This window comes from Homo sapiens, chromosome 6, assembly GCF_000001405.40.
Source record: "Homo sapiens chromosome 6, GRCh38.p14 Primary Assembly".
NCBI lineage: Eukaryota > Metazoa > Chordata > Mammalia > Primates > Hominidae > Homo > Homo sapiens.
In genome coordinates, this window is record NC_000006.12 from 3,831,483 (window position 1) to 3,855,385 (window position 23,903).

Consider the following 23,903-nt stretch of genomic DNA (forward strand, 5'->3'; position numbering starts at 1 on the left):
AAACTTTTCTGAAACATTAACAATAAAAACTGTTTTTCATCAACCATGCTGTAGGAAAGACTGACTTCTATCTTTCTACTCTCTGTAGGAAATATCACAAAGGTGTTACCATATGGAGAGGTGAGGAGGAGTGTGCTGCCCAAAAAGTGGTGTTTCAGGCTCTTGTATAATCACATGAACATCTTTAATAAGATTCTGGATACAAGAATTTAAAGTAGTAATTAGTCTCAAAAAAAAAAAGAAAAAAAAAACCAACATGGGCAACAGCAGTCCAGGAAAACTTCATGGAAGTTGAAAGAAATGGAATTTCAATAGAGTGAATGGAGGCTGGGGGCAGGACTGAGTCAACTGGTCAACCCATATTGGCAGTTACACCTGATATCAGTTCTGATTGGCTCAGTCTCCACCCTCATTGGTTAGTGCCTGCCATGGCAGTTGGTAACTGTTTTGCATATCATCCCTGCCCATTAGAGTGAACAATATTAGCAAAGGCACTGAGAAGGAATAATCTTGGCCTGTTTATCGAACGGTAAGGAAATTAGACTGGCTTGAGTCCAGCTGGGGGCAGTTGCGGGAAGTACAGCTGTTTAATTAAAGTAAAGCCAATTGAGAAGCGTGTTGAATGTCAAGCAAAGGAATTCATACATATTCCTGGAAGCAGTGGGGAGTAATGAACCTTTCAGTAAAATAATAACAACTTTAAAATTTTTCTTTTTGAAAGACTACTGCAGTAGTTGAATGAAGAGAAACTAGGAAGACCTTTTTAGAAGGTGGTTGTAATATTCCAAGTAAGAGTGATCAGACATGAACTAAGTAAAGAGGAATTTGGGCTTGTGTGTGTATCACTTCCTTAACTTGAGTTTTGTATTGTTAGCTTATAATGGATTCATGTAAGGAAGACCTCTCATGTCCCACTTAAAATGTTCTCCTCCCTGCTCCTTCCAGCCACTGCTACAGTGAACAGTTCCATCCAACCAGCTTCACGCAGCAGCACGCTGAGAATGCCTCTTCTCACTGCCTGTCCCTGGCTTCTCAGATGCAGTGGCTGGCTGGGGTGTCCCAGGCAACCCACCGGGCACTCACTCATACACCCCTTAAAAATGTGGGGTAACAACATCCTGTGAAGGAACCATCTTCCACTGGAGATGGGAGCTCTTGAATCAATGCTTCCCCTGTTTTCCCCACCCCACAGTTCTGAGATACACTCCGGAGACACACTTCTTTGGGTGAACCCAGGCTAAGAGAGAATAGGATCCTCTAATTCTTTGGTGCCACCATAGTGGAACCTCACATGCTGTTCTGCCCACAGTAAGAGCATCAAATCTTCATGGCTCACCCTTATGTTGAATAGCTAGTATCTCCTTTGACCTTTTTAATTTTTTTTTTTTAATCTGAGACAGAGTCTCGCTCTGTCTCACCCAGGTTGGAGTACAGTGGTACACGATCTTGGCTCACTGCAGCCTCCACCTCCCAGGTTCAAGCGATTCTCCCGTCTCAGCCCCCAAGTAGCTGGGACTACAGGCATGTGCCACCACACTCGGCTAATTTTGTATTTTTAGTAGAGACGAGGTTTCACCATGTTGGCAAGGCTGGTCTTGAACTCCTGACCACAGGTGATTCACCCACCTCAGCCTCTCAAAGTGCTGGGATTACAGGCATGAACCACTGCACCTGGCAACCGTTTTAATTTTTAAAAACAGGTTTGTAGAACTGAGTCAGTCCCATATACTCAGCAGTAGTTTCAAGCCTGTGGGGTGGTAATTTAGGATACTGGTAAGAGCTGAGAATTTAGAATCATAAGATCTAGATTTGAGCCTCGCTACCAACTAGATGAGTGACCAAGGGCAAGACATACACCTCTTGGAGTGTTCAGTATCCTCGTCTGTAAGATAAATGTGTTAGCAGCTACTGATCTTCACAGTGTTCTTGTATCAACCAGGACCGTGTGTGTGTGGTGAGCATTTGCTCATTTCAGCACTCAGCTTCCATTTTCCCTTCCTCTTGGTTATGTGATCCCAGTTTTTGTTTGGATGGCTATCACCTTTCCCCAGTGCATCCTGTGTTTTACCACCATTCTCCCCTCTACCCCCAGCTTTAGGGTAGGCCCTAAATAAAATATTTTTAATCTAAAGGGACTATTCATTTCCCTGGCTACGAGGATTTTAAAAAGCAAGAAGAAATTTATTGGCAGATCTGATCACCCTTATGAGAGAGCAATCAAGTAAGACAGCATGTAGCCCCTGGAAATTGCTGGAAATCATCATGTGGCCCTAAGGAGTGCCAGCCTAACGATGAAGCAGAAAGAGGGATGGCGAGATGACTGAACTGTTGAGTCAAGTCACATCCAAAGCCCATGTGGCCTCTGATCTTTTCAGATAAATGAGTTATTAAATATTTTATTTAAACCAGTGAAAGTCAGGCTTTCTCTTATCAGGGACAGAAAGACTCTCAACTGATAGAATATACAATACAAGCAAGCTTTGTAATTTGCAAATGAATAAAAACATTTTTAAAATTATTTTTCCACAGTGAATTAGCAAGAATAGCTATGACCCATGGGGCAGGTTGAGAAAAATTTCTAAGCTTTTATTTTAATTTAGTACCCTTTTTTGGAAAAAATTGGTACCGACTGACAGTATGTTCAGAACTAGATCTCAACAAGAATAACTACATATGTAAAAAGAAACAGGCATTTTAAAACCTATAAAACTGAGTGAACGTGTGTGACACTGAGTGAGAATATGATATATTCTTATATTCAAATATGTATGAAATTCATATATGTATAAAATTCACAAGTCATAAAAGCAAAGACTGTCAGCTTTGGCTACATAAAAATTAAAATACAAAAATAAAATACAAAAACTGATATATGGCAAAAAAAAAAAAAAAAAAGGAAGAAAAGAAAAGAAAAAAGAACCCACAGAGTTAAAATGTAAGTAACGAACTGAGGGAAATTTTTGGAGCTTATATGAAAGATCAGTTGATAGCCTCAATATACAAAGAGTTCTTATAAATCAATAAGAAAACAATTGGTAAAAGATTTGATCATACAATTTGAAGAACATATTAAAAGATGCTAAAGTTAAAATCAAAGTCAAGGGCTATCAGGTTTAAAAAGGTTACTAATAATTATATACATTAAGTTCTAGGCACTATAAGAATTATCTCACAGAGATGCATATATAAGAATGATCATTATAGAGTTAAAAAATAAAAACAAATGTTTAACAATAAAAAACTGGTAAAATATATTTTGATATAGTCTTACATTGAAATATATATCGGAACCATTAAAAAAGATCAGGTAGGCCTTTTAGTGTTACCATGGAAAGAAGTATGCTATATTGTTTGAGGATATTAAACAACATACAGAATGATCCCATTTATATTAAAATTAACATATGCATTAAAAGTCTGAAGGTAAATGCCAACAGTTAATAATGGTTATCTTTCAGGTGTAGAACTGCATAGAGGCTGTTTTATGTAAAGCTTTCACAAAATTCAAGCAGTACAAAAATATTTTTATTTTAAAATAAGTGAACAGATATCAGAGAGAAATACAGGTTGGGTAATCTGTGGCCCCCTTGATGGTAGAATGCGTTCCTCTTGCCCTGGGTTTCTGCATGTCAGTGAAGTGTCCAGCAGGTGACAGTCCTGTTGTGTTAGGGCAGGGTGGAAGGAAGGAGGAGGAGGAGCATGAGAGAAGAAAATATTTTCCCCAACCAGGACACTAGAAATGGAGAAATTTCACAGGGAGCTCCAGGGGAGCATAAGGGGTTGCATTTCTAGCGTTCACTGTCCTAGAGTTGGCTCCTCAAAGCCTGTGCAGTTGCCATTGCTGTTTTGCCAGGTTCTGCCTGTAAGGCCCAGTGACAGCCTCCTTCCCCACTATTGCCCAACCCAGGGTTTCTTGTAACTGATCTCATCCCTCCTCTGCCCTTTGGACTTGACTTTGGACTAATTTGACAACACATCAGCCAGCCCCATTATGAACAGCTAAAGTCTGATGTGATCCATGAGTTAGGGCCTTTGCTGAGTTGGCATCTCTCCACTTCCACCCCCGCCACAAGAAACTGGAGTTTGGAGTCTCTAGAGAAGAAGCCACAGGAGGAACAACGCAAACAAGCTTTGGGCTCCCTTGTTTCACGTCTTGTGATCAACTTAGATGAGTTATGAGAAAGTTCTCTTGGTTGAATCCTAGCCTTGCACAACTCAAAAGGATCAGAAATTCTCAGCAAGTAATTTTTCCAGATAAAAAATGAAGCTTAGAAAACTTACGTAACTTCCTCTAAGCCTATAACAAATTTGCAGTAATGCCAACATGAGAACCCAATTCTCCCGACACTGTGGACTCCCAACCTCACGCGGGACTATTTCCACTCTGCATGCCATGTCTTTGGGTGCCGCATTTCCAGCTGCAGGATTCCAGAGCTTCAGGGATTTGTTAAGAGTCAATTTTGACACCTTCACTCAAAATAGAGAATTGAAAGTGAAAATGTAGCACTGAATGCTTTTACTGTAATGCCTAGTGTTGTCAGTGTCAGTAGTATCACAGTGTCATATTATCAATGTGATATTTGTTCGTTCATCTATTCATTCATTCATCAAACATTTCTGAGCATGTACATCATGCCAGACCCTGCAGCAGAAAAAAATAAAACAACACAGCAGTAGCAAAGAGGCCATATGACCCAGCAATAGTTTTAAGCCTTACATCCTTATTCAGTCAGTCTAGTCCTGTCCCCTAGACCCCTGGCCTTTGGTCTTGGCAATTCTTGTATAGAGAATTACTATATCATTGCAAAACACTCAGTTTACTGAAGACCCTCTAGCAATATTCAATTGCAATCAACTCTTGTAGGCAAACCCTGTGAATATGGTAGCTGTGTATAGTGGTTGCATGGACGATCTCAAGGATAAAATGCAGGAAGCTTTCACCTTTTACATTTCATCTGCCCCTGGAATCTCAGTATCCTTAGCATCACTCACAATAAGTTCTTCCAGGGAAAACAGTATGCACCATCTAGCAGACACCAAGACCCAATCTTAATACCTAGAACAATTATAGATAATCCCACTGGCTCAGTCAAGATCTAGCAAGTTAATTTTGGTTACAAAGAAAACATGGCTGTGTGTTAGTAGACTCTCGAACTATTACATCTTAGGAACAGTGTGTCTGAAAATGGGCTTTCTTTGTATCAGAATGGCCATCTGTACATGTTTTGAGGAAGCATTTGGGGAAGCCCCAAGCACAATGCCATTGGTGTCATGATCACTGACACCATTGACAGCCAGTTATATTGCACATGTGGCCCAGAATGTGCCAAGGAGCCTGAGTCTACTGAAGGACACTATGTATTGAAGCCAAGGACAGAGGGAGGCAGGCTACAGTCCCTGAGATCAACTTCAGCACTCTGAAGGGTAATAATCCTCTGCCTCCACCATAGATTCGCATTATCAAGAGAAGATACAGGCTTCGTGCAGGCTTTTGGAAAATCTGGGTGACAGACTAGTCACTTAAAGAATGTTAGAGGAAGTCCAACATTTAGATGGAAGGAAAAGGATACTAAACCTCACATCCTATATAAAAATTAACTCAAACTGGACCACAGATCTAAATGGAAAATGTAAACTATAAAACTTTTGGAAGAAATCATCAGAGAAAATGTTTGTGGCCTTGGTTTAGGCAAACAATTCCTACATAAGATATCAAAAGCATGATCCATAAATGAGCAACCGATAAATTGAAGTTCATCAAAATTAAAAATTTTACTCTGCAAAAGACAAGAGAAGAAAAAGAGAAGTTAGATTGGTAGAAATTATTGCAAATCACATGCCTGATGAAAGACTTGTACTCAGAATACAATACAAACTCTCAAAACTCAATAGTAAGAAAACAAACAACCCAATTAAAAAATGAACAAAAGATCTGAACAGACATTTTACTAAAGAAGATGTCTGATAGCAAGTAAGTACATGAAAAAATGCTCAACATCATTTGCCACTTGGTAAATGCAAATTAAAACCACAGTGAGATGCCACTACGTACCTATTAAGTAGAATGACCAAAATATAAAAAAAATGCATAATATCCAGCATCTTAGCCCATTTTATGTTGCTATAATAAAATACCAGAGACTGGGTAATTTATAAAGAACAGAAATTTATTTCTTACAGTTCTGGAGGATGGGAAGTCTTAAGAGCATGGCACTGGCATCTGGTGAGGGCCTTCTTGCTGCATCACAAGATGGCAGAAGACATCACAGAGAGAGAGGGGGCCACAAGAGAGAGCTGAACTGGCTTTTATAACAGACCCTCCCTTGTGATAACTAACCAACTCCCATGATAACCCATTAATCCATTAGCCCATTAATCCATGAAATAATCCATTCATGACAGCAGAGCCCTCATGACCCAATCACTTCTCAAAGGTTCCACCTCTCAACATTGCCACACTGGGGACCAAGTTTCCAACACGTGAACTTTTAGAGGACTTTAAAACCATAGCACTAAGTGCTGACAAGAATGCAGAGGAACTGGAACTCTCATATATTTCTGAGAATGACAACTGATACAGTCCCTGTAGAAAACAGTTTAGTAGATTTTATTAAGTTAAACAAAGACTTACCATATAACCTAGCAATCCTATTTATAGGTATAGAAATGAAAACAAGCTGGGACTGGGCCTGGTAGTGCATGCCTATAATAACAGCACTTTGGGAGGCCAAGGCAGGAGGATTACTTCAGGCCAGGAGTTTGAGGTTGCAGTGAGCTATGATTGCACCACTGCACTCCAGCCTGGGCAACAGAGCAAGACCCCATCTTTTTTAAGAAAACTAAAAAAAAAGAAAAACTGGAAAGAATGTCCATCAAGAAGTTAAGGAATAAACTGTGGTGTTTCCATACAATCGGGCGCTACTCAGCAACAAAACGGCATGAACTGGCCTGGCATGGTGGCTCACTCCTGTAATCCCAGCACTTTGGGAAGCCAAGGCAGGCAGATCACCTGAGGTCAGGAGTTTCAGACCAGCTGGACAACATGGTGAAACTCTGTCTGTATTAAAAATACAAAAATGGGCCAGGCACAGTGGCTCACACCTGTAATCCGAGCACTTTGGGAGGCCGAGGCAGGCAGAACATGAGGTCAGGAGATCAAGACCATCCTGGTCAATATGGTGAAACCCTGTCTCTACTAAAATACAAAAAATTAGCAGGCATGGTGTTGGGCACCTGTAATCCCAGCTACTTGGGAGGTTGAGGCACAAGAATTGCTTGAACCTGGGAGACAGAGGTTGCAGTGAGCTGAGATCATACTACTGCACTCCAGCCTGGGTGACAGAGCAAGACTCCATCTCAAAAAAAAAAAAAAAAAAAACACACACACAAGAAAAAAAAGAATGAAGGAATGAACTACTGACATATGCAACAGCATGGATGACAATCAAATGCATTATACTGGAGTGAAATAACTCTGACTTAAAATGTACATATTGTATGATTCCATGATGTGACATTTTGGAAAAGGCAAAAAATATAGGTATGCATCAGAGTCAGTTTGTGTTGCTATAAATACCTGAGATCGGGTGATTTATAAAGAAAAGGGGTCTATTTGGTTCACAGTTCTACAAGCTGTATAATAAGCATGGCATGAGCATCTGCTTCTGCGGAAGCCTCAGGCTGCTTCCACTCAAGCAGAAGGCAAAAGGAAGCTGGTATGTGCAGAGGTCACATGGTGAGGGGGGACGCAAAAGGAGAGAGGGGGAGCTGCCAGCCTCTTTTTAACAACCAACTTTCTCAGAAGCTAACAGGTCAAGAGCTCACTCATCTCCTCCCCCAGGAAGAACATTCATCTATTCGTGAGGGATCCACCCCCACAGCCCAAACATCTCCCACTAGGTTCTTCCTCCCACATTGGGATCCATTGTCAACATGAGGTTTGGAGGGTCAAATATCCAAACTACAGCGGTGTGGAAAGTAGATCAGTGGTTGCCAGGGGCAGCGATGGGGAAAGAGTGTGACTCAAAGGGATAATACAAGTTTTCTGGGATGGCAGAACCATTCTGTTCCTGCTTATAGTGGGGATCACTTGATTTTGTGTGTGTCAAAACTCATAGAACTGTATACCAAAAACATTGCTATTTTTGCTATATTTCAATTTTGTTAAAATATTCTGTGAAGAAGTATTTCATGGCAAGACTTCAGCAATACCTCACATATACTCCCATAGGAGAGCAACAGCAGTCATCAATAAATCATCCTCCCTCCCTCCCATACCCCAGGTTAAACTATTAATATCAACCAAGACACTGGGACGTGCTAGCCAGGAAGTCATAGGCCAAGAGTTTCTTCTGAATAAACGGCAACACAACAAAACATAGGGCCGGGAGCGGTGGCTCAAGCCTGTAATCCCTGCACTTTGGGAGGCCGAGGCGGGTGGATCAGGAGTTTGAGACCAGCCTGGTCGACATGATGAAACCCTGTCTTTGTTGTTGTTGTTGTTGTTGTTTGTTTGTTTGTTGTTTTTTGAGACGGAGTCTCACTCTGTCGCCCAGGCTGGAGTGCAGTGGCGCGATCTCGGCTCACTGTAACCTCAGCCTCCCGGGTTCACGCCATTCCCCTGCCTCAGCCTCCTGAGTAGTTGGGACTACAGGCGCACACCACCATGCCCAACTAATTTTTTGTATTTTTTAGTAGAGACGGGGTTTCACCGTGTTAGCCAGGATGGTCTCGATCTCCTGACCTCGTGATCCGCCCGCCTGGGCCTCCCAAAGTGCTGGGATTACTGGCCTGAGCCACCACGTCCTGCCAAAACCCCGTCTTTATTAAAAATACAAAAAATTAGCTGGGCATGGTGGGGGGTGCCTGTAATCCCAGCTACCCGGGAGACTGAAGCAGGAAAATCGCTTGAACCTGAGAGGCGGAGGTTGCAGTGAGCCGAGATCACGCCACTGCACTCCAGCCTGGGCAACAAGAGCAAATCTCCTTCTCAAAAAAACAAAAAAAACATAGCATAGACCCAGGGCTGTGGAGTCACGGCATGTAACAGAGTCCAGGATCTAACCAGCTGGTGTGTTGCACCTGCCCCGCCTCCAACGAACGGAGCCGAGCACCACTCAAAGGCCGGAACACGTTCTTTGGACCTCAGCAGGCAGAATGCCCAACGCTGGAGCATCAGCAAATGAGCTCACAGGGTGCAGTGGGTGCTTTTGAAGCTCGGGTCAACTGGAATAAATAACGGATTTTCTGCCACGTGTGCCCTGAACAGCACCTTTGAAATCAAAGTGAAAGATGAGCATGATTTAGACCTTGCCAAAAATTACAGGTGTCCAGGCATTTGTCAATACTTACATAACTATATACCAAAAACAGCAAATGGTGCTGCTGTATGTACATTTAATAAGAAATGAAAAAAAGCTTTAGGGTAAAGCCTAGCTCAAAGTGTAACTAGGGATAAATGTTAAGCAACCAGCTCATGTCTTTTTATTTATTTGGCCCCAAATTAAAGCAATGAATGGCAAGAATATATACCACGAAGTTGTTTCTTCTTTTGTGGATTTCTTACCACAATCAATGGTGCTTCTAACAAAAAATACAAGTCTGCAGATAGTTAAAAGATGGAGACGGTGGGCCGTAGGTCCGACCTGTTAGGAGCCGCAACAAGAATTGTCCTGTGTATACATTGCACAACTCTCCTGTCACTGGGGCAGTATCTTCCATGTTTACAAGCTGTTTAAAGAATAAACCCTAAAAGTGATGAGCCAAGTAAAATACAGACTGGCAACCACAGATGATAATGCAATTCCCCTGGGGCTGGTGGGTCCCTGGAGGATCACGATAGCTCTGGGAAAATTATTAAGTGGTCTGGTTTTCCATGAAGCTGGGGGTGTCAGTGGGTTTATCAAAAGTTCCAGGGTGCTCCAGGGCGGTGGTTCCCTGGGCAGGTAGTCACAGTCACAGGGGAGACCATAGAGGGGTGTTCTCTACAAAAGGGCTGAAAGTGAAGGGAACAAATGTACATAGAGTCAAACAGCACATTCTATCTCTGTTTATTGTTATAACGTTGTCAGAGACAACATAAATAACTGATGAACATTTTAACACCATAAATGAGATAACAGCCAGCACCTCTCTGATTTGTTTTGTCTTCAGGGTTCCCCAAGAGTGCTTGGTCCTTCACTTGCTTACCCAAAGTCAACACTAGGTTCAGGCATTTTCTAAAGCACTTTCCTATCTTAGAATTTCAATTCCTGAACTTATTAGACAATTGTTCATCATCTGCTTCAAGTGCCAAGAAGTTGTTGCCTCAGGGTGGCCTCCCTCTACGAGTCTCATTATCCAGGAATCCTGCAGCAGTCATCCTGGAAAGCAGCTCCAGGAACAGCCTTGCCTGCTGCAAACCCGGCTGTCCCTTGGCCTGCTGGCCTCTGTGACACTGGTGATGTTCTGCCAGGTGCTCAGTGTTGGCTGTGAGCAGTGTGCACTGTGGCCATCCCTGAGCCCAGTCAAAGGTCCAGCAGAGCAGCAGCTGCTGCCCCAGCAGAAGAGCGCTTCACCCAGGATCACTCCAAGTTGGGAGGAAAATAAAAATTTCAAGGCAATCATCAATCCCACCATTGTTCCCTTCCCAGGACCTGAACCACCTGCTTTCAGTTTGACGAAGGAAGAAGAGCACAGAGGTGTTTAGATACCAATCATCTTTGCTAAGGGCAGTATTGAAAACAAGAGGAGAGGACTGCCAGAGAGCCAGAGCTGGCTTCAACACACATTTTTAAATTGCCTCCATGGGCTGCAGCTGTGAAACGTAGTGTGCGAAGCCACATCCGTAGCACTTTCCAAAAAAAGAAGGGTCCTGGAAAAACTGGCCAGTGTCATACTGTAATGCTTTCTACGTGTTTCTACATAAAACAACACTTTCATCTTCTACGTTCCTTTAAGAGGACAGTGGGAGGGGGACATTCCTGATACATTTAGTACATGTGCTATTCTAGGCAGGCTTCTGACTTTTTCTCATACTCTTTTCTATGTAGGCATGAGCTCCTAGCCACTCCCCTTGGCCCCTGGCTTCTGTCATGCCCCTCTTTTCCCTGGTAAAAATTCTAAAAGCTATCCCTCAGGTGATGCTTTGCCACTTCAAAACAAAAGATGTTCCACCCTTTGAAAGAGCATCAGAGCTTCTCTCCCTATCTGCCCTTCTCCTAAAAGGTGCCTGTGGGACACTCGCTACCTTCACCCAGCTGTAGTAAGCCCCATACTGGTGAAAACACCCCATAATTTTATTTTTGAGAAAACTGTAAAAGACATAAAAGCATATTATGAAAATAACATTTGCTGTACGTTTCTAAAAAATACTTTTCATCAAGTGAAGGACTCTAGTTCGCAATTAATATTTTATCTGCAGGGATTGAGATGTTATTAGTGTGGTAAGTTACACACATAGAGATTTCTAGTGTTGAGCTACCTTTGAGAAAAGCCTATTTTGTCCATTTTCATGTATGTATTCATAAACTGCTGAATTCCATTTGTTAATATTTTGTTTGGGCATTTTGCCATTCTATTTATAATTAGGATTGGCGTGTACTTTAATTTCTTGCATTTTTCCTATCTGGCTTAGAAATTGACAGCATCCATAATACACTCTTCTTCAAATGACCTGGCCAGACATTTCAATCTATCATATGAAAAATTAAATCTTCATCCACCAAACCAAAAAGTCAGTAGATAAAATTTAAAATTGATTAGTCACAACATAGCAATGTAAGAATTATTAGAAAATAAGGAGGTAAACACCAGAAGAAGCAACTGAAAGGACTGGAGGTGGTTGCCTCCAGGGAAGAGAAAAATAGACAGGAAACTGCTTTTTTGTTTGTGAAAATAACCCTTTCAGGATTACTTTTCTTTTTAAACCAAGAATATAAAACCATGTTCCATTCTTTTAAACCGTTTTATCAAACATGTATTACTTTGATACAAATGAAAGAAAAAAATGAGGTCTTACAGCTCAGAGACATTTATGGTGCAGCATTTATTTTGAAATTGTGACATCTCTTAGGTTTCATTTCTCTCTCACGTGGTGTGGATTTTTTCCCCCAGGGAACACATATAGAAGTCATAGGTTTCTTGTTCAAGCTTTTCCCTTCTAGTATATTTTGTACTTCCTTGTCTCTGAACATGTGAGGGTTCTTCCCCTTACCCCTACCTGATTGCATGCCAAAATATTGGCTTTCCACCAAGCAAAGGTTGGAAGACATTTTTAAACCCTTTATTCGAAAGCGTGCAATAATATTATCTAGATATCCTTTGAAGGACTTCTGGTCTGGTGGCGGAATTCTGAATTCATACACTAGTTCTTTTTTGGCACCTGGTTGATGTGAGGTGTTGTGGCTTTGCTTTGACAACTGGTTCAGGATACTGTGGTGGTGTTGGAGGGATCATTGAGTGGAGATGCTATCGGGGCACGCCCTACACCCAGGCCAGGCCCACCATCAGCTGTTTCATTTCAAGGCTGACTCTGGAGAGGACAGTATATCTGCCACTTGTAGGATAATCCGTTTAAAATAGAATTCAGACTGGTGGAAAGCAACATGAAAACCGACCATGACAAAAGGTGTTATTTGCGGGGGTCTGTTATTGTTGCTTGTATTGAAAACTAAGTTCTTTTTCTCTTGTTAAAATAGTTTAAGTTTTAGTTTTGTGAGATTTTTAAAACACTGATGCTGTTTGCATATTTTACTTTGTGACTAAGCCTGGAGGAGGGCACATTTTTTTCTAAATTAGTTTGTGTATTTAATCGGCATTTCTGAGTCACTAGAACAGAATGCTGCTCCCTCTCCTCTGTTGTATTATTGCTATTGATACTTTTATTTATTTATTTATTTTTTAACAATAGAATGTACCACATTTATTTAAATCAATGACTATGATGATTATATAAAAACAAGAATAATACCGGGCGAGGTGGCTCACGCCTGTAATCCCAGCACTTTGGGAGGCCGAGGAGGGCAGATCACCTGAGGTCAGGAGTTTGAGACCAGCCTGACCAACATGGCAAAACCCCGTCTCTACTAAAAATACAAAAATTAGCCGGGCGTGGTGGTGGGCGCCTGTAATCCCAACTACTCGGGAGGCTGAGGCAGGAGAATCACTTGAACCCAGCCGGCGGAGGTTGCAGTGGGCCGAGATCGCACCATTGCACTACTCCAGCCTGGAAGACAGAGCCAGACTCCGTCTCAAAAACAAAAACAGAAAAAAAAACTTAAATGGAAAAAAAGTCATCAAATGGGATGCAAAGTTTGATTAAAATTGCTAAATATATACAGATCTATGTGCACATAAAATATTGGAAGGGAACTTGCAAACATTAATAGTTATGTTACTTATGTGTTCATGTTGAGTGAACTTTTTATTTATTTACATTTCTTTTCAAACTTTTCTGTAATATGCCTATTTCCTCCTTTATGACAAAACCTATTGGAAAAACAAACCATAATGTCTCAATCAGGGAAGAATAACTAGAACAATCATTCTTTTTTGTTCTATTTATTCTTCTTTCTTAAAGTTTCACCATTTGCGTGGGCTCGGGTCCTCAGCCTCATTTTGCTGATAAAATTTAAGAGCTTAAAGCAGTAGCTTTTAGTTTTGTGGGTATTTTCGCTGAGAATTAAGGCTGAAAGAGGAAGTTATCATCTTGGAACTTAGGGGAAAATTCTACAGAACAGTATATCAGACTTTTAGGATAAATCTCCTTCTTTCTAGTTGTTTTTCTTGTTAAACTTTTCTGAGAATTTGAGGCTCAACCTTTTAATTCTGGGAGCTGGCTATAGTATTTGGAGGCCGTGACTGAGTTCAGGAGGTGGATGCTGGATAATGGGAGGGTGGATGATAAGGTTTAGGGATGATATTGACATTCAAGTTCTGATTCGATTAGAGAAAGAGTGAATATAGTATTTGTGGCCAAACGATAGTCGATTGAATTAAAGTTTAGTTGGTTGGATCATTTAACTGAAAAAAAGAGGTGGAGAGGCTATCTTATTTATGTTAAGTGTAATAAAGGTAATTATATGGGAAACCTGAGAGAGGAGACTATTGGTAATTTTGTCCATCTGTGGGTGGTGATGGTGATGGTGGGTGCTCCAGGCTTCCTCTTGGAGATGACATTTGTGCTGATCTTCAGGGATAGCACAGCGAAGGGCAGGACTTTCTAGAAAGAGTACGTCCAGAGGTAACAGTTATGAAAGGGCAACTTTTTTTTTAGATGAAGTCTTTCTGGGTCACCAGGCTGGAGTGCAGTGGTGCGATCTTGGCTCACTGCAACCTCCATCTCCTGGGTTGAAGCAATTCTTCTGCCTCAGCCTCCCGAGCAGCTGGGACTACAAGGCATGCACCACCACACCCAGCTAATTTTTTTTATTTTTATTTTTATTAGAGACGGGGTTTCACCATGTTGGCCAGGATGGTCTCGATCTCTTGACCTCGTGATCCACCCGCCTCGGCCTCCCAAAGTGCTGGGATTACAGGTGTGAGCCACTGCGCCTGGCCTGAAAGGGCATCTTCTATTCAGGCGCAGTGAAAAAGCTGGGTGAATGCTGCAGGGGTCCACCTATTAGAGACCTTAGAGGACAAACAAAGAGATTCTGATGTGGCTGTTACAAGGGAAGTTGGAGTTTTTCAAGTAGGAGAGTAATGTTATCAGATTCATTTTTTATGAAGATCTCTGAGGATATTGTATAGAAGTTAGACAAGAACAAGAATACAGGCATACCTCGGAGATACTGTGGGTTCAGTTCCAGACCACCACAAAGACAGTCACACAAATTTTTAAATTTTCTAGTGCATATAAAAGTTATGTTTATACTATACTATAGTCTAGTAAGTGTGCAGTAGCATTTTGTCTAAGAAAATAATGTGCATAATTTCATTAAAAATACTTAATTGCTAAATAATGCTAATGATCCTCTGAGCATTCAGTGAGCTGTGCTCTATTTGCTGGTGGAGGGTCTTGCCTCAGTGTTGATGGTTGCTGACTGATCAGGGTGGTGGTTGCCAAAGGCTGGGCCTGTGGCAGTTTCTTAAATCAATATTGAGTTTGTCACATTGATTGATTCTACCTTTCACGAAAGATTTCTTTGTAACATGTAATGCTGTTTGAATCAACTTCTTCCAAACTTCTGTTAATGTTGATATTTTACCTCCTCCCAAAAACTGTGAATGTCCTTCATGGCACCTACAGTGGTGAATGCCTTCCAGAAAAATTTCAATTTACTTTGCCCAGATCCATCAGAGAAATCATTACATACAGCAGCTATAACCTTTGGAAATGTATTTCTTAAATAATAAGACTTAAAAGTCAAAATTACTCCTTGATCTATGGGTTGCAGAATGGATGTTGTGTTAGCAAGCATGAAATCAACTTTAATCTCCTTGAGCATCTCCATCAAGCTCTTAGGTGACCAAGTGCATTGTTAATGAGTAATAATATCTTGAAAGGAATAATCAGAGCAGTAAGTCTCAACACTGGGCTTAAAAATATTCAGTAAACCATGCTGTAAACAGATGTGCTGTCCTCCAGGTTTTGTTGTTCCATTTACAGAGCACAGGCACAGTAGATTTAGCATAATTTTTAAGGGCACTAAGATTTTCAGAATGGTAAGTGAGCATTGGCTTCAACTGAAAGTCTCCAGCTACACTAGCCCCTAGCAAGAGAGTCAACCTGTCCTTTGAAGCCATGAAGCCAGGCATTGACTTCTCCTCTCTAGATATAAAAGTCCTAAATGGCATCTTCTTCCAATAGAAGGCTATTTTGTCTACATTGAAAATGTATTGTTTAGGGTAGCCTCCGTCATCAGTGCTCTTAGCTAGATCTTCTGGATAACCTGCTGCAGCTTCTCCATCACACTTGCTGCTTCACCTTGCACTTTATGTTATAGAGGTGACTTCCTTCCTCAGCCTCATGAACCAACCTCTGCTACCTTCAGACTTTTCTTCTGAAGCTTCCTCACCTCTCTCAGCTTCACAGAATTGAAGAGACTTAGGGCCTTGCCCTGGATTAGGCTTTGGTTTAAGGGAATGTCGTGGCTGGTTTGATCTTCTATCCAGACCACTAGAACTTTCTCCATATAAGCAATAAGGCTGTTTTGCTTTCTTATCATTCATATGTTTACCAGGAAAGCGCTTTCAGTTTCATTCAAGATTTTTTTCCTTTGCATTCACAACTTAGCTAACTGTTTGGCAAAAGAGGCCTAGCTTTTGGCCTATCCTGGCTTTTGACATACTTTCCTCACTGAGCTGAATCATTTCTAGCCTTTGATTTAAAGTGAGAGACGTGTGACACTTCTTTTCACTTGAACACTTAGAGGCCATTGTAGGGTTATTAATTGGCCTAATTTCAATATTGCTGTGTCTCAGGCACTAGGGAAGCCTAGGGACAGGAAGAGAGATGAAGGAACAGCCAGTCAGTGGAGCAGTCAGAACATACATAACATTTATCAGTTAAATCAATAAACGTCTTTGTCTTCTACTGCACACTTCGGAGTGCCCCCAAACAATTACAATAACCTCACAGAACGATGATCACAGATCACCATAGCAGATATCACAATGAAAAAGTCTGAAATATTGCAAGAATTACCAAAATGTGACACAGGAACACGAAGTGAGCACATGCTGCTGGAAAAATGGAGCCAGTAGGCGCTTGACGCTGTGTTGCCACAAATCTTCAATTTGTAAAAACAAAAACAAAACACACAGTATCCCAGAGCTCAATAAAATAAGATATTCTTGTATTCTGGTGATGGGGCAACAATGAGAAGGCTTTAGATTAAAAAAAATGCTAATTTCCTAGATTAAGGCAAGTGGTGGGGAATGGGAGAAAAAGGAAAGTGTGAAAGGCTCTTCTGTAATTGATTACCTGTGGAGGAACGTCATTCCAGGAAAAGGCCTAGGTTTCTGGCTTGGACAATTTGATGAGGGCTCACACCGTGCTGTTCTCCTCTGGATATGTGGGTGCCATATGTAATTATCATATGATTCACGCTTCTTGGTAAGGTTATGCTCACAGGCATTGTTGCTCTTAGGCGGGAGGAGGCTGAACCGCAGTATGTATTTCACAACCAGCTTTTCCAAACTAGGTCCCAGGAAGCACTGGTTTCGGCGAGTGTTACCAGATCTCCTGCAGGGGAGAAACGGTCACGAAACATGAACTGGTCTGCCCTGCTCTTGGAGAGTTACAGTGGAAACTGGCATGTTAGAGGCTCACAGTAAAGACACTGCTACACTTTAACTCAGTGTCCCATGGTTATTAGAGCTTAGAACCCGGGGGAAACTGCTGTATAGAAGAGGTCAAACAAGCTGAGTGCAGGTTTTGTCACGAAACTGGGGGGCGAGTAGGGTTCTATTATCAAAGAATGGTTGTGTTGGGGCCATAAGAAAGAATTACAGGCAGTGGTGCGCAGGTAATGTTCACGAGACGCCACAGCGGGGTAGCATCAGAGGCGGGAGGAGGAGGGTTGGAGAGCAGGGCCGTGTTGCAAGGCTCTCTGGGTGGCCACAGCAGCTTGCGCTGCGCCCACATTGCTTCTGCGTGTTTACAGTTGGGCACGAGAAGGCTCAGCACGCACGCACAGCAGGTGGGGGCCCGCCCTGCCCACAGCGTGAAAACAGGAGCCCCGGCCAGCCACGGCTGGGCAGGGCCAGAAGCGCCTCCTCCAGGATCCTCCCCGCGCTGGCCCGCCCCACAGGAGCACCGCCCCTACCAGGAGCCCGGAGCTCTTCCCAGGGCCCGCCTCCCCGCCAGGGGGCGATCCACCTCCACTTCCTGTTTCCGCAGCCGCCCTACCAGGAGCCTGGCACTCTCCTCAGGGCCCGCCTCCCCGCCAGGGGGCGCACCGCCTCCACTTCCTGTGTCCACGGCTGTCGCGAGAGCCCGGGGCGAGTGGGCCTCTGCTCGTGGGTGGTTCTCGTGGAGGTCAGCTCCCGCGTGTCTCCGCTCGACAGGGTGCTTGGGCAGGTAAGGGTCCGCTCAGTAGCCCAACCCTCTCTGTATGCAGCTCCCCAAATTCAGCGCTGCGCTCAGGCATGGCAGCCACCCGTTACGTGGGGCCGTTCGCATTTGCATTTATTGAGGTCAAATAAAATGCTGGAAATTGGTGCCTGGTGACACTGTCAGGTTGGTGGTTACCCTAGCAGGTCGGCCCAGCCCCTGAACGCTTCCATCACTGCCGAAAGCCCTGTGAGGAGGCGCAGAGCTGAGCATTCCCCGCCGTTGCGTGGGCCCCCCTCTACCTGCCGCGTTTTTCCTCTTTGCTGCAGAGCCCATCGGGTAGGCGCGGGCCATGGCGCAGTACAAGGGCACCATGCGCGAGGCAGGCCGTGCCATGCACCTCCTCAAGAAGCGCGAAAGGCAGCGGGAGCAGATGGAGGTGCTGAAGCAGCGCATCGCCGAGGAGACCATCCTCAAGTCGCAGGTGGACAAGAGGTTCTCGGCGCATTACGACGCCGTGGAGGCCGAGCTGAAGTCCAGCACGGTGGGCCTGGTGACCCTGAACGACATGAAGGCCCGGCAGGAGGCCCTGGTCAGGGAGCGCGAGCGGCAGCTGGCCAAGCGCCAGCACCTGGAGGAGCAGCGGCTGCAGCAGGAGCGGCAGCGGGAGCAGGAGCAGCGGCGCGAGCGCAAGCGTAAGATCTCCTGCCTGTCCTTTGCACTAGACGACCTCGATGACCAGGCCGACGCGGCCGAGGCCAGGCGCGCCGGAAACCTGGGCAAGAACCCCGACGTGGACACCAGCTTCCTGCCAGACCGCGACCGCGAGGAGGAGGAGAACCGGCTCCGAGAGGAGCTGCGCCAAGAGTGGGAGGCGCAGCGCGAGAAAGTGAAGGACGAGGAGATGGAGGTCACCTTCAGCTACTGGGACGGCTCGGGCCACCGGCGCACGGTGCGGGTGCGCAAGGGCAACACGGTGCAGCAGTTCCTGAAGAAGGCGCTGCAGGGGCTGCGCAAGGACTTCCTGGAGCTGCGCTCCGCCGGCGTGGAGCAGCTCATGTTCATCAAGGAGGACCTCATCCTGCCGCACTACCACACCTTCTACGACTTCATCATCGCCAGGGCGAGGGGCAAGAGCGGGCCGCTCTTCAGCTTCGATGTGCACGATGACGTGCGCCTGCTCAGCGACGCCACCATGGAGAAGGACGAGTCGCACGCGGGCAAGGTGGTGCTGCGCAGCTGGTACGAGAAGAACAAGCACATCTTCCCCGCCAGCCGCTGGGAGGCCTATGACCCCGAGAAGAAGTGGGACAAGTACACCATCCGCTAACACCCGCCTGCCAGAGCGGAAACCGGGGGTGGGGGGAGACACTCATTTCTAGGCCCCATCACCAGTCACTTGATTTCGTGACCTTGATTTCTTCCCCCAAATTTAATAAAGACAGAGGGTTCTCATGATTCACATTGGTTGTGCTATTGCTGATGTTATGCTTTGGTTGCTTGGTTGGTCTTTTCTGAGTATTTTAGTGTTGCCACCTGGATTTGCTGCATTGCTCTGCTGAGCTGTATTGAAACCATGACTGGGCCCACTGTCAGACAGAAATTAGAATAGGAGGCACATTTTTTACCTGGTGGTTATGAGCATGGACTTGGGGGCCACAGTGACTGAGTTTGATTCCCGACACAGCCTCCTCCTTGCTGTGTAGTTTTGGGTAAGCTTATTAAACCCCCATGCCTCAGTTTGGTCACCTGTAAAAGGAAATAACAAGAGCACTTACTTTATAAGATTGATGTGAGTATTAAGTGAATTAATATTTGTAAAACGCTTAGCTCTTAATAAATGTTTCTGTTGTTATTATTATGGTTTTGGTTAATTTATTTAAAGGACTGCAATGACCTAGTTCAGAACCATTTGAGGGCAAAGGTGGACCTGCCCATCACTGGTCCCAGGATCAGCAGTTGCCAGCAGGAGGGGGCTAGCAAAGGTTGGGGAGCAGCCCCCCTCTAGTGGGCTTTAGCTGGGTTGTTTAGCCCAGAAGTTAGGAGGACAGTGAGCTAATGCAAGTAGCCTGCAGGGTCAGTATCATTGATTTTCCTTTTGCTCCAATATGACTCCACAGGGCACAGTTACAGATCCTGTCTTCATTGAAAATGTTTGTATTTTATTCATTGTGGATTATTTCTGTTAATTTTGATTTTTAAAAATACTGTATTCAGGCTGGGTGTGGTGGCTCGTGCTTGTAATCCTAGCACTTTGGGAGGCCGAGGTGGGTGGATCACCTGAGGCCAAGAGTTCGGGACCAGCCTGGCCAACATAGTGAAACCCTGTCTCTACTAAAAATACAAAAATGTGCCTGTAATCCCAGTTACTTGGGAGGCTGAGGCAGGAGAATTGCTTGAACCTGGGAGGCAGAAGTTGCAGTGAGCCGAGATTGCCCCACTTCACTCCAGGCTGGGTGAAAGAGTGAAACTCCATCTCAAAAAAATATATATATGTGTATATATATTTATTTATATATATTTATACATTTATTTATATATATTTATATATACATTTATATGTTTAATATATATTTATATATATTTTATATATATTTTTTATATATTTATACATTTATTTATATAATTCAAATATTATTTATTATTTGGTTACTGAGTATTTGGGGATCTCCTCCTCCTTAACCTTAATGCCCAAGTTGGGTGCCTCACTCACGTTACCCCAGTCCCAGCCCTGAGTATAGGAGGGACATTTCTTAGAGTTCTTGCCTCAGTGCATAAGCAAGAACTTCCACCGAAACATTAGCCTTCTAGGACAGTGGGTCCCAATGGCTGTCCCTTAGGGTCATCAGGGAAGCTTTTAAACTTCCCAATTCAAAGGTCACACCCAGAGCCAGACCTCAGGGTCAGAAGTGGACATCAGTGTTTTGAAGCTCCCCAGCTATTTGGTTGGAGAACAAACGCTCTATGGCTGCCTTTTCCACCTCTTATGAACTCCTCCCCCTGAGTTTCGGTGCAAGTAGGGTCAGGGCCCAGGACAGGCTCTTGGCTCTGAACACTTCCTTAGGGTGTGAAGCAGATTCTTCCTACCTGAAGTGAGACCCTTGGACCAGCAGCATCGGCACTTGGGAGCTTGTTAGAAACGCAGATAGAAAAGCAGAATCTCAGGCCCCACCCCAGACCTACTGAATCAATGTGTATTCCAGTAAGATCCCCAGGTGAGCCACAGGAACACGAAGGTTTCTGGAAACTGGCTGGCTGGATGTCTGCTATTTAGTCTGCCCTTCCAACATAGCAGATCAAGACCTAAACTTGAGGGTGCTGATAGTAGAACCCCACATCTTTGGTTGGTCTAAGCCATATTCTCCAATCTAGTTTTCATTTAAAAGTTAGTATGCTGCCGGGCGCGGTGGCTCACGCCTGTAAAAATCCCAGCACTTTGGGAGGCTGAGGCAAGTGGATCACCTGAGGTCAGGAGTTCAAGATCAGCCTGACCAATATGGTGAAACCCTGTCTCTACTAAAAATACAAAAAAATTAGCTGGGCACGGTGGCGGGCACCTGTAATCCCAGCTACTCAGGAGGCTGAGGCAGAAGAATCGCTTGAACGTGGGGGACGGAGGTTGCAGTGAGCCAAGATCATGCCACTGCACTCCAGCCTGGGCTACAGAGCAAGCCTTTGTCTCAAAAAAAAAGTTGGTATGCTGACTACAATCTAATCCTGCCTTATTTCTTAATTGTTTTGGTGTTACTTAGAGTTAGGTTCAACTGCACATTACAAAATACACAAAGTACCTGTAGCTTAAGCAAGCCTATTTCTCTGCTTCAAAGAAGTCTAGAGGTAAGTTGGCCGTAACATCAAGGACCCAGGCTGCTTCTACCTTGTTTCATCATATGTGTCTTCCATATCCATGGTTACTTCATAATCCAAGATGGCAGCTGCATCTTTAACCATCACATCTACATCCTGGAAAACAGAAGGTAAGGGGAGAAAGAAAGTTCAAAAGACTTAAAACAGCTGTCTCTCCAGGAAGAGTCCTGTAAGCCAACAAACACTGTAGTGGTTGCCGGAGCTTGGTTTCCTGGCCACACCTGGTTGCGTGGGAAGCTGGGAGATATAGTCCTTATCTGGGAAGCCAAGTTCTATTACTATGGGAAAAAATGGAGAGCAGAAATCAGGGGATAAATACAGTTTGTGATGTAGTCTATCCCTTTCACTACAAAAATATCCAAGTGTATCCTTTCCTCACACATAGCACATTCAGTCCTAAAGCAAAGAAGACCACCACAAGGGCCCAGTAGTTATATCTGGGGTGATGTACAGGCCTCTCCTTCAAGTCTGAATGTGGATCTTTGTCATCTAGCTACTTATAAACTAAAGAATAAGCAATCCGTCCTCTCACATACCTGATATGCAATGGTGAAACAAATACAAACATTAGGAAAAGGGAATGCAAAGCACCAACAAGAGCCACTTCTCTGGCCACTATCAAATTCTACTGGGAGGTATTGCAAAGACTCTGTCTGCCTTGGAGGTATCATCCCTTGGTTGCCCTGGGTCCACTGTCTGGGATGAACTACCCAGTTCATTGTCCCGCATACCCTCTGGCTTTACCCTCCTGGTCCTCCATGACCACATCCAAGCCCCATTTGACAGAGCTACAGATCTTTTGCTGCCTGCTTCCTGCTGATGCAGATTTGGGAACCAGAGATTGCTTTCATAGGTTTTTCAGTCTAGGCTAATGGGTTTTTTTGATAATTCAATCCTCTCAAAAACTTAGATGGATTTCTAGTCAGTTCCATGTGCAATGAATTAATCCCAGCCAAAGTTATTTTCTAGACATGATGTTAAGTATGAAATTCTCGTTTTTACTTGCTGGCTTCTGAACTCTCTCCACCCCACTCCCTAAATTTAATGAGGGATACCTTAAAACAATATGGCACCCAGCATCAATCTTATCTCCTGCTGAGGCTGTAGCTTTGAAGCCACTAATGGTAACTTCAGTTGGGCGTAATGAAACATTTGGTTTTTTATGTCATGCAGGGCTCCAGACTTGGACTGAAGTCTGTAGGTGAGGACCCCTTGCTGGGCAAGGCTGCCTCTCCCAGCACTGCTGGCAGACAGGTTAGCTCATGCCTGCATGCATGTCACTCAGGTCTCTGCTGAAAGCAAGGAGAAATAACCAACACACAACAACCTTCTGAAATTTTTCTAAGAATTCCCTATCATTGCAGCCATGGTGGGTACCTGGCCTGCCTTGCATGCACAGCAAGAGACAGGGTGACCAAATGTGCCTGGGACAAGCCAGCAGCCTCTGTCACAGATGGACCCCAGGGGGGGAAGGGGTCAAGTGCAGCCTCAGACTCCCAGGTGTGCCAGATTACTTGACGTGCCATATTTCACCAGTCATCAGCGCAACCCCCTGAGATTGTTGGCACCATTTGTCTGATGAAGAAATTGAATCTCAGTGGGCCTAAGTCACTGAAACGGGGTCACACAATGTTAGGAGTGGGAACTTGTTGTATAAAAATAACTATATTTGGTCTTTGTCCCAGGTTCCTGGTACAGAGCTCCTAAACCCCTTGGAATTTTCCTGAGTGATAGGAGTATCTTTGATATTCATAACAAACCCCTTCCAATGACATCTGTGTTTACTCTAATGAGGTGACCTCGGGTGGGGCCCCTAGTTAGCTTCAGAATGGGGATGCTCACCAGAAGAACAGTGACTAGAGGACTGGAACTTTCAGCCCCACCCACCAACCTCCAAGACAGTTACCTTTGGGGAACTGGAGGAGAGAGTGGGAGTCTGGAGGTTACACTCTGCAAAAACTCTTTTTTTTTTTTTTTTGAGACAGTGTCTCACTCTGTCGCCCAGGTTGGAGTGCAGTGGCGCGATGGGGGCTCACTACAAGCTCCATCTCCCGGGTTC

At 44.1% G+C, this 23,903-nt stretch overlaps 1 protein-coding gene and 1 long non-coding RNA gene across 4 annotated transcripts, besides 2 other annotated features; one reads left to right on the forward strand and one right to left on the reverse strand.

The window, feature by feature from the left end:
- Window positions 1–411: 411 nt before the first annotated feature.
- On the forward strand, window positions 412–19,835 carry FAM50B (family with sequence similarity 50 member B). Of its 3 annotated transcripts, none has more exons than XR_001743335.2 (2): window positions 412–529; window positions 2,133–2,518. XR_001743335.2 is itself a non-coding variant. In XM_017010729.2 (2 exons), exon 2 carries the CDS (start codon window positions 18,330–18,332, stop codon window positions 19,305–19,307), a length of 978 nt encoding a protein of 325 aa, XP_016866218.1. In that variant the 5' UTR covers window positions 412–529; window positions 18,307–18,329; the 3' UTR covers window positions 19,308–19,835. The 3 variants fall into 3 exon arrangements, 2 of the variants coding, with proteins under 2 accessions (XP_016866218.1, NP_036267.1); XM_017010729.2 differs by lacking the exon at window positions 2,133–2,518 and adding an exon at window positions 18,307–19,835; NM_012135.3 differs by lacking the exons at window positions 412–529; window positions 2,133–2,518 and adding exons at window positions 17,891–18,004; window positions 18,307–19,835.
- LOC107986557 (uncharacterized) lies at window positions 13,206–17,884 on the reverse strand. The gene is made up of 3 exons (XR_001743931.2): window positions 17,834–17,884; window positions 16,907–17,167; window positions 13,206–14,610 (listed from the first exon to the last, which is right to left on the reverse strand). It is a non-coding gene; the product is annotated as an uncharacterized LOC107986557 (long non-coding RNA).
- Window positions 17,565–17,684: a silencer, noted in NCBI's record as "silent region_16858". NCBI's record gives its function as "represses an Ori minimal core promoter by ATAC-STARR-seq in GM12878 lymphoblastoid cells {active_cell/tissue: GM12878}" and the evidence as "EXISTENCE:reporter gene assay evidence [ECO:0000049][PMID:35858748]".
- Window positions 17,955–18,074: an enhancer, noted in NCBI's record as "active region_23893". NCBI's record gives its function as "activates an Ori minimal core promoter by ATAC-STARR-seq in GM12878 lymphoblastoid cells {active_cell/tissue: GM12878}" and the evidence as "EXISTENCE:reporter gene assay evidence [ECO:0000049][PMID:35858748]".

Coding starts and splice junctions, on each gene's coding strand:
- FAM50B (XM_017010729.2), top strand. CDS start 18,330: ATGGCGCAGTACAAGGGCACCATGCGCGAGGCAGGCCGTGCCATGCAC.